Genomic DNA, 14,318 nt, shown 5'->3' on the forward strand with positions numbered 1-14,318 from the left:
GGCATTTCTGTCTCAGATAGATGTACTTGCATTTTCGCACTGCATTTCCTTGCTGTTCGGGCCTCTGGGCCTCTCTACAGACTGGTTCCTTTGCTGGATGTGTTCTCTCTATACTGACAGCTTACATCTTATCTTTACCCCTCCTGCTGAGCTCCCACCCATCCCTCAGGCTCCAGCTTCGAAATCACTTCTTCTGGGAGGTCCTCCTTTTATCTGCTGTGAACTCCAGGATTCTCTGTCATCACAGTGTAAGTCTTATCTTGTCTCTCCCTGTAACCCTGCCTCTCTCTCCCAGGAGTCTGAGACTATGCCTCAGTGACATGAGAATCATTTAGAGCTGAAGACTTCTGGGAATCAACAGCTGCAGGAAGAAGCCTTTCTGAACACCCTTTATCTCCCTAAAAGCAAAGCCTCTCAAAAGAATTCAGTTGTCATAACTTCCCTCCCCAGGAGTTTCACAACCAGAGAAAAAGGACTCCTATCACTAGAGATGAGAAGTCACGTCAGCTCCTGAATAAGAAATCACCTAAACCAACATTGTCATAAAACAACCAGAACTCTCATGTGTTCTAAGGGCCCGTTTATTTTTCCTAAAAGTCATGTGGACTCCCAGAAGTGCCCCTCTGCCCTTCTTCATCCCCTATTAAGATGCTATTTAAGCCCCACATTTCCAACCTATCTCTGACACATTTTTTGGCGAAACCCTGTGTGTGCCTGTGTAATTATATCTGGGATTTTTCCCCCTCTTGCTAAACTGTCTTTTGTCAGTTTAATTTGCAGTTTGTCAGTTTAATCCTTCAAAAACTGAACCTAAGAAGGTAGAGGATAAGTCTTTTTTGTCCCTGACACTCTAAAACTGATGCAAGGGAGATTCTCTTTCTGTCCACTATAATGTTTCCCAAACCTGCCACAGGGTCTAGAAAAGAGGAGGGCTCAGTAAACGGTGGATTGAATTCCTGGATTACAATAGCTACTTGACTGGCCTTTCTAAATTTCAGTTCTTACTCTCTACAGAGAAAGGAAAGTGAGCATAGTTTTTTTTTTTTTTATTTTCTCCAAATGCTTTAAAATGACACATCCTCTAAGCCAAGAGTTGGCAAACTACAGACCCACATGCCAGATCCAGGCCACCACCTTTTTTGTAAATAAAGTTTTATTGGAACACAGCCCTGCCCATTCAATTATGTATCTTCTAGGGCTGCTATTGTGCTACAGAGGCCATATGGTCCGACCAGCCTGCAGTATTTGCTATTTGTCTTTTTGCAGAAAAAGTGTGAGCAGAGAGGAAGAGTGCCCAGGGACTACAGGAATTTAATCAACTTGAGCAATCAGACTGTTTTACATCCTCCCAGCTGACAGCCGGTTTTCCCCCAAATTCTGTGTGGAATGCAGCCACATCGTCTATTGAAACCAGCTCCTGACAGACCCCAACAACTTATACATGAACCTAAGTGAACTATCCTCAGTTCCATGCTAAATTCTCCACCGTGGGAGGGGCTACAGCTTCATTAGCATAACATGAGACCCGTGTTGCTGGCAGGATGACTCACTACATCTGCCCAAATGGGGCCTGTCCTCTATATGCGATGATCCACCCTTTCCTCTCTCACCCCCATAAAACCCTCCTGTCGCTTCCCTTGGGGAGACACCGCTTTGGAGAACACTTGTAGTGCTCTCCTTACTTGTGACAAGTAATAAAACTCCTATTGATTAAAATCTGCATTCTCATGTTACTCGCCAGGCAAATAAACCCTGTTTTTTCTCGGGTGACAAACCTTTACAGACTTCTGATCTAACTAGCTTCTATCTGAAGGGATCTTCACTCAGCAAACATTTCGTAAGTGACTATTCTGTTTCTCACACTGTTAGGCATTGAGAACACAACGATAAATGCAACCCTTGCCTGAAAAAATTGATATGCATGACATGCATGTGAGGAGCCAGAAAATTTCCAGATTTTGAAAAGTCCCTTTATAATATTTACAGACAAATTTTAAACTGGTAGTTATTAAATTCTCTGTCAGAGAGTTGGTAAATGGTGAAATGTCAAGAGAAACAAACCAAACAAAGGATGTTTATGCTTGAAAATGTGGAAAAAATAATGAAAGGCAGAACTGAGCTAATTCTAGGTTCTAAGGTTTTATTTTAAAGGGTACAGGCTAGGTGCGGTGGCTCACGCCTATAATCCCAGCACTTTGGGAGGCCGAGGCGGGTGGATCACGAGGTCAAGAGATCGAGACCATCCTGGCCAACATGGTGAAACCCCATCTCTACTGAACATACAAAAATTAGCTGGGCGTGGTGGCACGCACCTGAAGTCCCAGAGTCCCAGTTACTTGGGAGGCTGAGGCAAGAGAATTGCTTGAACCCTGGAGGTGGAGGGTGCAGTGAGCCGAGATTGCACCACTGAACTCCAGCCTGGCGACAGAGCGAGACTCTGTCTCAACAACAACAACAACAAAAAAAAAAAAAAAAAAAAAAAGATACCAGAGGAAATAGTAAAATGAAAAGGATAAAAGACAAAGCAAAAAATGTAAAGAAACCAGTTGGAGGAGGGGTATTGATCTGAAGGTCTTGAGGCAGGAGTAAGGACTCACTGTCCATGGGCGTCAGGCAGGAAACCTAAATGAATAAGGCAGACAAGGTGTAGGGAAAGCCAGTGTGCCTCTTGGCCATCTTTCATTCTCCCACTTTTTATGGAGACGTAAGTGTAGGAAGATAGTTCTCTACCAGAAGAAAAGGAAATTAATTGCAAGACAATGATAATGGAGAGTTATACATCCTCAGGGGTGGGGGGAACTGGAGCCCAGGAGAAATGGGGGCACATGCCCCTTCCAAAGAGGGTGGCTGCTCCTCAGAGTCTGCTGATCCCAGCCTCCTGAGAAAATAGGAAGACAGGACTAGTTTTGTGCCATCTTCCTAGTTTCCAAGTGAAGCTAGGGATCCACCTTTTTCTGTGAAATATCTTTTTTAAATATTGGCTTGAGCTTCCTAAGAGCCATAATGAAGGGAAAACAGGTCCCAAATGTGGGCAACCACTGAGGCTCCAATAGAAAGGACCTTGTTGGTCAGGAGTTCGAGACCACCCTGGCCAAGATGGTGAAAGCCCATCTCTACTAAAAATACGAAAATTAGCGGGGCGTGGTGGTGCACACCTGTAGTCCCAGCTACTCTGGAGGCTGAGGCAGAAGAATTGCTTGAACCTGGGAGGTGGAGGTTGCAGTGAGCCAAGATTGAGCCACTGCACTCCAGCCTGGGTGACAGAGCGAGACTCTGTCTCAAAGAAGAAAATTTAAAAAAAGAAAAAAAAAGAAAGGACCTTGTTATGTATAAGGCAGTATATGTAAAATATTATTTACAATTATTTCAACAATAGAAGTTTTTTCAGAAGAAATGGTAGCTACTCAGACATGGCAATCTCTGGTTTTTATTTACGCTGACGGGGGAAAGAGATTTGCTTTGAAGTGACTTGACTGGCTTGATTGGCAAAGCTGTAGAGACTGATAATGTTGTACTTGTTATCTTCACTCTGCAATTCTTCAGCCTGGGCCTTCATTTCAACAGGCACCGATACAGGTCCCAGCTGGATATCAGCTAATTATGTCCAAAGACATTAACTGATAATGGCTTTAAAGCCTTACATTTGCAAGAGTTATTTAAATTTTAAATAAGAACTCAAAGATGGAAATTCCATCTTCTTTCTTACCAATCCTTTTACCAAGAACCAAAGCATTATTAAACAACAAAGCATGAAACAAATGAATTGAAGGCCCTCAATAGATCATAGATGACATGGCACATTTTAGATTTCAAGTGGCATCAATTAATTAATTTAATAAAAATGAAGCTTTTCTTTAGTTCTGGAGGTTATTAGGAGTCTCTATTGATACTCTTTATGACATTCCAGCATCCTTAAGGAAATAAATCTAATTAATGGGAATAAATGAGAAATTTCAAGAGAAAAAGAAAGTGTGCGTTTTTTTCTTTTTCTTTTCCTTTTTTTTTTTTTTTTAGCTAGGAGCACTGGATCTGTTTACTGGAAAGATTCTATTTTAATGTTGGCCCCTCACACAGCTGAACTTGATTATGAAGAGAGAAATTGTTTGGTTCATTAGGCTTTAATTATAGAGATGAATTATTATGGATAAAAAGAGGAAGCCACAGAATTATGGAGATTGAATTCCAGTTCAATAAACAACTTCAAATATCTTGACTGGAGACATAAACTAGTCATGTTCTTTTTTTCCCAGTTTAATTTGATGTCTGTTGACAAATGATATTGGAATGTCCCTGAAAAAAAAAACTTCATATTTACAGTGTGTTAGAAGTTATCATTTAAATTACACTTCCTTCTCTAATTATATTTTCTGATGGTGTACGAAGATAGATAGGTGTTGCTTCCACATGAATTTATTTTGTGTAATAATGACAAAATGTTGCATTTCTGTTTTGCCACTATTCATGTAATCAGATTGCATTTATAATAGCTCAAAAGCCCTCCATTGGAACCCCAATGTATAAAAAGACAAGCTAAAAACCCTGAGCTTGAGATTTAAGGACTTTCAGAATCACATCCAACTCAAATACTTAATATTATCATTCCATATTTTGTTGTAAAGGTGCAAAGCTTTGACTGTAACAAGTGTTCTATTCACCATCTCACAAATAGTCCTTACATATTCCTGCTTCTGAGATTTTAGGCACATCTCTTCCTAGTCTGAATTTGCCCTTTTAAATTCTACTTACCTAATGCCTAAATGTCAGGCCCAGTTAAAAATTATGCTTCCTTTGGCCTTCTGAGCATAGGACTCAGTGGATGTTGATACCACTCTCTGATTTTATAAAATACTTAATATCTATAACATTCTTCTTAAAGACTCATACATTCTTGATAGTCTTTTACTCTGAAGTCATTCAGTCAGATTTTCAGCTCCAGACACATAATTTCTTATTATTTTAACATAATAGTTCTATCAAAACATTGTTTAAAAAAGTAATACCTGTATGGCAATAGAAAATCTGAAAGTTGTCTATTTGATGGTATCAAAGAACTATTTTGAAATTCTTAAGTGTGATAGTATTACGGTGGTTATGTGGTTGGGTTTTTTTAAGAACTTTTTTTATAGTAATTATGCATAAAGTAATGTAATGTCTAGAATTTGCTTAAAATTAATATAGGAGCGAGGTAATTTAGGGTATAGACAATATGTAGGGGAAGAAAAATATCTTTCTGCTATTCCTAGGTTTGTGGCTAAAGCCACTTGAATGAAAGACAGATTAACAAGAGAAAGCATACAAATGTATTTAATGTACATTTTATGTGACATGGGGGCCTTCATAAGGGAGCAAAGACCAGACAAACCTGAGCTAGGCTTGATGAAGAACGGAGAGTCGTGGAGGAATAAGATTCTCCGTGACAATAGGATCCAATGGTAATAAACTGAGGGGACTTAGTAGGGCCTGTTTGTTCAGATTTTTTCCGTGTCCCTGTGTGTTCAGAGAGAAAGATGCTCGTTTCCTCCAGGTATATGGAGGGCACCTCTCACATTTGACCAATCATCAGTGATGGTTGTTGAGTTTCAGGATTATGGGGGTTGATATACTATGCTATCTACTTTTATTATATATGTTTAACTTCCCTTCCTTCCTCCCTCTCTCCTTCTCTTTCTTTCTTTTTTTTCTTTCTTTCTTTCTTTCTTTTTTTTCACAGTCTCACTCTGTTGCCCAGGCTGGAGTGCAGTGGCACAATCTCAGCTCACTGCAACCTCTGCCTCCCAGGTTCAAGCGATTCTCCTGCCTCAGCCTTCTGAGTAGCTGGGATGACAGGGGTGCACCACCATGACTGACTAATTTTTGTATATTTAGGAGATATGGGTTTCACCATGTTGGCCAGGCTGGTCTTGAACTCCTGGCCTCAACTGATGCACCCACCTCTGCTTCTCAAAGTGCTGGGATTGCAGGTGTGAGCCATTGTGCCCGGACTAATTTTTCACTATATAAAAAGTTTTCATTTTGGGAGGCCTAGATGGGTGGATCACTTGAGCCCGAGATTTTGAGACCAGCCTGGGCAACATGATGAAGCCTCATCTCTACCAAAAAAAAAATAAAAATAAAAATTAGCAGGGCATGGTGGCACATTCCTGTAGCCCCGTTACTGGGAAAAGGTACTACTCTCAAAACGGAATAGCCACTTGGTCTTGGGTAAGTCGCTTCGCCTTTCTGAAGCTTCAGTTTCACTCTCTCAAGATGTTCCAGCGAATGCCCCAACCTCAGCCACTTTCAGCTGTAAAGTGCTGTGAATGTAGGCATTTAGGAATCAAAGATAGATTTTTTTGAAAATGAGAGAATATATAAACTCTCCAGCGTGATCACTTTAACACCAACAAAGTATAGTCCCTCTCGGGAGGGAGATAAAACACACATAAACTCAACAGGGCAGAAGGGGAAGAAACGTGGACTGATGGCCACAAGATAATGAAGCTTCCATTCCAGGGTTTGTTTTGAGAGCAGTGACTTGGTAAGAAAATGTTCACTCCTGAGATCTGTAAACCTTAAAAGCCCAGAGGGACTTGGAGTTTCAGCCTCAGTTCAGCCCGGACTGGGTTTACAAAGTCACTCTGGACACATGGTTGGTTTGAATCAGGGAATTGAAATAAATATTAAATCACAGAGTGTGAAAAGACCAAGGAAAATAGGTTAGGCAGGTGAAGGCCAATCCAACCAGAACCGGGTTGTATTTTACGGTAGGAGAGTGGTGGGTCTAAACATTCTGTAGTCTATTCCAGCATATTTTCACTCAGTGGCCAAGATCTAAATATTCTGTAGTCTATTTCAGCATATTTTCTTCTTGTGCAATTGAAATTTTTCCTTTCAACAGGGGTCCATGCTTCATTGCCGAGTCCTCTGCAGGCAGAGAGAATAAATAATGTTTCAGTTTCATGATCATCAAAAGCCCTTCAAATAGTTGAAGGCAGAGAACAAGTTATCTTGAGCCTTGCCATGGTTAACTAGCCTCTTCAAGAAAGGCAATTCACACAGATAAACTGGAGGGGGGAAAAAAAGCACTTAAAACTTCTCTGGATGATCAGAATGGAGGTATTTGCGTTTTACTGAGCACAAGTGTCAGACATCTGGGGGCAGTGATACTCTACTTGTTAGCCTGGTTGACTTTCATTGATCCCAAGCCTTGATTACAACAGGCGGCTCCTTTGATATGTGAGTTATTACTGCAATGTGTTGCTGAAGCTGGATGTCATATACTAAGATTATGGGAAAACAAAGCAAAATAAAATCCATTCTTTTAACTTTGAATATGTCAGCAACTAATAGGAGAAAAAACAACTCTAATTTGTTGAGTACTTGCAGTTGTGCCAAAGGCCTTTGAAAAACTGTTTGTATTATAATCACCTCAATAAAAAAGATATTTCCTTATATAACAAGTGAGGAAATGTAGAGTGACAGAGTTGGAATTTCAGAATAGATGACACCTAAAGCTATTTCCACGCTTAGTAGTTTCTCTACCTCGGCTGCACATTAGAATCACCGAGGAGGTTCAAAGAAGGCTGCGACCCTACCCTTCTAAGATTTTAACTCATTTGCTTTGGGTGAGGCATCAGTACTTTTTTTATTTTTTATTTTTCTGGAAATGGAATCTAGCTTGGTCACCTAGGCTGGAGTGCAGTAGTGCAATCTCGGTTCACTGCAACCTCTGCCTCCCAGGATCAAACAGTTCTCCTGCCTCAGCCTCCCAAGTAGCTAGGATTACTACTAGTTTTTTATTTTGTTTTGTTTTGTTTTGTTTTGTTTTATTTTATTTTATTTTATTTTATTTTATTTTATTTTATTTTATTTTATTTTATATTATTACAAGTAGCTAGGTGGCATAACCACCACAGCCAGCTAATTATATTTGTGTTTTTGTAGAGACGGGGTTTCACCATGTTGGCCAGGCTGGTCTCGAACTCCTGACCTCAAGTGATCCGCCTGCCTCAGCCTCCCAAAGTGCTGTGATTACAGGCATGAGCCACTGTGCCTGGCGGCATCAGTATTTTGTATTTGGGGGTTGCCCAATACACGTTGAGAGACTCTATCTGCCAGTAGGAAGTCACTTTCTCTCTCTTCCCCTTGGTTTGTATAACAAGGAGCTTGGTCTGATATACCTCTAAGGTAAAGAAGCAGTTTAGTGGATAAGCATGCAGGCTCTAGAAGCCACCTGCCGGGGTTCAAGTCCCCTCTCTGCCACTTACTAGCCTTCTGGGACTCTGTTAACATGCCTCCAAAACAGGGTTACTACCAGTACTTATCACATACAGTGGTGTTGGGAGAATAAGTGTAAAGTGTTTAAAAGACTGTCATCTCCTCTCCTATGTCATTGCTATTATCAGTGGTTGGCCCATCTCACTATGAGCCATCCAGAGCCCAGCCTCAGATGTCTTCTTCATGTGCTCTTTGAAGACAGAATTTCACTGCTGATATTCTTCTGCTTCCCTGGGTCTAACCTGTCGCCTCCCACTTCTCTGATCTTCACTGTTTTCCTATTTCCCCATTATAGTCTTCGCCTAAAACTTTGGTTCCAACAAGTTCAGGGGTTCATTATTCTATTGTACCTACTTTTTGTCAGTTTAAAATTTTCCATTTAAAATAGCTAAAATTGTTTTAATAAAATAAAATAATAAAATGAGCCTAAACTGTCTCTTCTATCTAATGCATGCACCATCTGGTTTCCAAAATGTTTACCAGTGGCTTCTGTCTCACATTTATTATTGTATGTTATTATTAATAAATCCATTATGAAACCTCATTGTTTATCTGCGTGAATGCCTATTCACCTGGATTTACCATTTAAACATTCAGAATAACCCTTCTGGGGAATGTGTTGCTTTTTCTAACATTAACACACAATCTTTAGTCTATGTCCCAAGAATGCAGACTGCTAAGTTTAAATGTATTTGCTATACATCACTGTTCCTGTCTTAGATAGTCAGGCATTTTTTGCCAAGGGTCTTATTATCTGCAAGGCTTTGATTGTTTATTGTGCTGTTATCTTGAGGAGTATTATCAGCCTCTCTTATCCTCTGGATGCCTTGGTAACATGCATAATGAGAGTGATGGTGGACGCTTAAGGTTTAGAATAACACTTAACAACTCTTAGAACGGTATAATATTAAATCTATAGGAACCTTGGTGATCTTCTAGGCCAACCCCTCATTTTGCAGATATGGAAACTGAGGCCCCAAAAGTGGCTGCACTTGCCTGAAGTCCCACAGCTATTGAACAACACAAACTCTTTCTTACTCTCAGATGTCTTTCCTAGTCAATATCTCTGATGAAAGAGAATGTAGTGAGGGCAGAGTGGAGAGCAGAGTGAGGATCATGTGAGTGTGGGGGAATTGCTTTCAAAAAGTAAACGTTGCAACTGGCCTAGCTTCAACAAATTTCTTAGGTTGGTTCTCAAACCTTACAGTGCATCAGAATTACCTGGAGGGCTTATTAAAACACAGATTGCTGGGATCTTGCCCCGGAGTCTCTGATTCAGATAGCCATGGAGCCTGAGCATTTGCCTTTTTAACAAAGGGACTACCCTTTGAGAAACAGAGTCTTAGGTAAGTACAACAGAACTCACGTTCCTGACTCCCAATTATTATAATTGTTGTTGTTAATCATTATTGTTATTATTCTCAAGTCCAGTGCTCTTCCCAACACATGGCTGTGCTTCCTTGCAAGGTAGTTTATATTGGCATCCGCACACTAGGTTTTCTCCCTCTTCTCCTTTTCACTGTTATCCTTCTTCCTCTGTCATCACTGAAGCTCCTGTTATGTGTCTAATGATGAATAACACTCTGCTTGAGTAACACAGATGAGCTACCATGCTAGAGTGGTCACTCTATGTACTGAAGCACTGTTAGTGGCTAGAATCTCAATTAAGTCATTTCAGCTCTGCAATGTGGTGGGAGAGGTAGGCAATCATTCGCATTTACAATCTTCAGGCAAGAGAAGCCAAGAGAACGCTTTCATATTCTTGATAAGTTATTTCTTCTGACTCACTCATAACTCCAATTGTGACTTGGTATCAAAGGAGTAATATTTGAATGGCTTATGCAGAGTTGTTAGAACACTGATCACAAGCCAGATACCAGATACCAGGACTGCTTTCCCTTGATAATAGCTTCTGAACCTCTTTCCCTTATAATAATGACTCAGGTCGAAATGCCTCATGCAACTGATACATATGTTGACTACATAGCATAAGAAATTCTATGCTGAAAATAAGAGGCATATTGCTATCCACATTATATATGGTAATGCACGTGGGATTGTGTTCCCACTAACAATGAATCACGCATTTCAATTTGAGTCAGTATTTTATGATGTCTGTCCATAGGAAATATGATAACATGTTCCAGAAGTTGTGAAAGGACCTTTCTTTTATCCATTGCTACAAAAGTCATTGCAAAAACACATCCCAAGTAGATGAGAAAGGGACAGATTCAATCTCCTGGGGAAAAACATTGCTGCATTCAAACCCATTGATAAGAAAAACTTCAGTCTCTAAAGCCATAAATACTTAAGGATTCCTAATACCTGGATAATCTGGTTCTTCTACAGTGCCTTGACTTCTCTACTTTCCTTATTGAGGAATGGTTCAGTCTTGTTTGATTTTTATTTTTAATATATTGCTCCCATTACAATTTATAATTGTAACAAAGCATTACATTTATGGTGTTATGTTAAGAAGAAGAAGAAAAAAGACTATGTCTCTATGAATTGAGTAAAATAGTTGCTCTTGGGACCTGGATAAGTTATCAGCTCACAAACAGTTATACTAAACATTGTTCTAACTGGGATGTTAGTGTATTTGCCTGTATTTTAAGGTTGATATTCAGGAGGACAATCAGACAACATATTCCTTTGTGTTGCTTTCAGAGAGAGGACAAGGTGGTGACTAGACCATGGAACATTTCAAACTGAAGACTGCATGAAATCTGATGGGCTGTGATCCAATTAACAGCAAAGCAATTCAACATAATTGACCCCCAAATAGTAAAGCCATTTCATTGATTCTATTTTCACTCAACTAAGTTGCACGTTACTAGGTCTTTGCAGTGGTTGCAGTGTACTTGAACAAATAAATGAGAACACAGGTAAGTATCTGTGCAGGTGTGGGGTCTGAAACAGAGGATGCCCAGGGACAGCAGGAGGGGTCGCTCAAAACAGAGCTCCTTCCCTCCTTTCCCTGCCAAGCCAAGGCTATTACCATGTAGTACATTGTATCATTCTGTCATTTTTCAGTTCTCTAATTTTTTCCAGCTGTGAGCCAATCAGATTGCTGACACCCCTTTCATGTCTCTTGCAGCATTATCTAGGGATTCATTATTTAAGAAGCCATTTTACCCATGTGTGTATGTGTGTACACACAGAGAATAAAGTCCCTCTTGTACTGTTGGTATGATGTCAGGGGCAGTTTCTCACTCCCTTCTACAAAGCTTTCCTTCTTCTGATGCAGCAATTAGTCGACTATTAATAAAAAGACATTAGGTTATGCTTATTTATTTTTAAAGAATGACATCATTCCAGGCCTTAATGTGTAGCAATGGAGCAATTCACAGGTCTTTCCATTTATTACATCATGGAAGCTGATTGAACTTGGCAATTACCTTGCTGTTTTCCCAACAGTTACGGAGGTGCTGAAAAAGGACTTGGTTGCAAGGGGCTGAATAAACATATATGTGGCTGTATGTCCTCTTATTTTGTTAAGTGAGTTTGTGCCCAGTGAAAAGTACCCACAGAGCCTAGTTTAGAGTACAGATATCCTCAATTTATTCCATAGCAAATCTACAACTCTCAGTCTGAGAGGTTTCGAATAAAGTCGTGTTAATCTTTAATTAGTTCGCTGGCCATCAGAGACTATCAGAAAACAAGGGCTGCTAACTAAAAGCTACAAACCTCCCATTTCTAAATTGAGCCATTATAGGAGCATACCAGCTGAAACACTCATAGATTCATAGGATTTTGAAAATGAAAAGGACTTTGAGGTTCAATTTTAGACATAGGGGAATTGAACCCTAAATTTCTGAGGAGCTTGATTAATTCTGCACAGTTAGCAAGTGGGAAGACTGGGTTTATTTCCACAATGTGATAATACCCCCTCTTAAACATGCTACTGCTCTAGAATATGGCAGATTCTCTTTCCATAAGTAGAACTTATGATATTTTACTTCAATTTACTTGGTACTTTGTATTGAATTTTTTTTTTTTAATAATCATCTTGTTGCAAGAATACTCAAGCCATAAGGATGCTTCCCATGTTGAATGACTTTATACTATAATTCAAGACTCAATGCCAGGACGGTTCAAATCACTGATGCTCATGAGCAACTGGAATCATGGCACCTCCCCCTTCCCAAAAGACTTCACAATTTAAGGACACTGATTAGTCTTCAGCAACAAAATCAATTTTTTTCCTCAACTTTCATTATGGTCAAGGGCAAAGCAGTGGTCTTATCAATAAAGGATTTGATTATGTTAGTCATTAAGAAGGTAATCAGATCTATTATTACTCAGTGATGGAACTGCCACAGGCCTAACTAATTGAATATAAGGACATGGCCTTTGACCAAAGCCAGTCAAGGGAAACTTCTTTTTCCACACTCACAGCTTCTGCTTATAATAAGGCCTTGGCATGACAGATAATGAAAAGACTCAGAAACTGACCATTGATGTTACCAATATGTATGTGTTTCCAGAATCAAGATTCAGATTTACAAAAAAGATGCGACAATTTGTTCAAGGTTGTAAGCAATTAGGCTCCATCCATGAATGCACTTAAAAGATTGTCATCCAACTCAAGCTATGGGTTTCAAAGGTTTGCAGAGTTTTTAATACTTTTGTGTGTTTTCAGGACGGAAGACCACTGTAAAATGACACCACATAAATATGACTGTTTCGTGTGAGGATATTTCTTTCTTTTTCTTTTTTTTTTTTTTTTTTTTTTTTTTTGAGAGGGAGTCTCGCTCTGTCCCCCAGGCTGGAGTGCAGTGTCATGATCTCGACTCACTGCAAGCTCCGCCTCCTGGGTTGACGCCATTCTCCTGCCTCAGCCTCCCGAGTAGCAGCGACTACAGGCGCCCATCACCACACCTGCCTAATTTTTTGTATTTTTAGTAGAGGCGGGGTTTCACCATGTTAGCCAGGATGGTCTTGATCTCCTGACCTCGTGATCCGCCCACCTCAGCCTCCCAAAGTGCTGGGATTACAAGCGTGAGCCACCACACCCGGCCGAGGATATTTATTTCAACATTTATGGTGATTGTCCCATCCATAGGAGAGTAAGCACAGCACCTCACATGAAGTGGACCATCAGGTGTGTTTACCAACAATAAATGGACTGTATTACTCAGCCCCAGACTCCAGGAAGAAAACTTGTCCATAACAAAATATGATTAGCTGAACAATATGGCTGGTGCAGCAACACAAATGCCTTAAATACACACCAGCCTTACCACTGTAGGGGCAGAAAAGTGTGAAGCCTTCCTTCACCCATCACAGGCGTCATGGTCGACACTCCTATAATAAGAAACAAGGTAACAAGAGAAATGCATAACAATCTTATTTTATCAAAGTCTTACTTGACACAGAGCTTTTTGAACTGAAGACCCAAAGACCTAGAGAAAACTATCTATTTTTATGCTTAGGTTCAATAAAGAATGCACAGCCATATAGAAATCTGATTGGACAAAAGGGTGTGATCTCGTGGTAATAGACTGAGGACAGGACAGACCCAGCAAGGTTCATCTGTTCAGATTCTTCTTGGTCTCTCAATGTTGTGTCTCTTCCCCAAGATATAGGACAGGACCCCTCTGGAATTAGGTCTTCAAGGGAGATGAGAGAAAGGAAGAGTGACATTTCTGGGTTTTACGACTTGCTTTGGGGAGAATAGTTCTAGTTTCTTTTCTTTTTCTTTTTTTTTTTTTTTTTTTGAGACAGAGTGTCACTCTGTCGCCCAGGCTGGAGTGCTGTGGTGCAATCTCGGCTCACTGCAACATCCGCCTCCCGGATTCAAGCAATTCTCCTGCCTCAACCTCCTGAGTAGCTGGGATTATAGGCATGGGCCACCACGCCTGGCTAATTTTTTGTATTTTTATTAGAGACAGGGTTTCACCACATTGGTCAGGCTGGTCTCAAACTCCTGACCTCATGATCCACTGGCCTTGGCCTCCCAAAGTGCTGGGATTACAGGCATGAGCCACCACGCTCAGTGAAGAGTTCTAGTTTATATAACGTGACTTGGGAAGAGGAATTCTGGATTCTATGACTTGCTC

General features: G+C 40.3%; 1 annotated feature.

Moving 5' to 3' along the window:
- Positions 1,121 to 1,621: an enhancer, noted in NCBI's record as "H3K27ac hESC enhancer chr17:13654264-13654764 (GRCh37/hg19 assembly coordinates)". NCBI's record gives its function as "activates a minimal SCP1, AML or CMV promoter by ChIP-STARR-seq in primed H9 embryonic stem cells {active_cell/tissue: H9 hESC(primed)}" and the evidence as "EXISTENCE:reporter gene assay evidence [ECO:0000049][PMID:30033119]".

The sequence above is a fragment of the Homo sapiens genome, chromosome 17 (assembly GCF_000001405.40).
Source record: "Homo sapiens chromosome 17, GRCh38.p14 Primary Assembly".
Classification (NCBI taxonomy): Eukaryota; Metazoa; Chordata; class Mammalia; order Primates; family Hominidae; genus Homo; species Homo sapiens.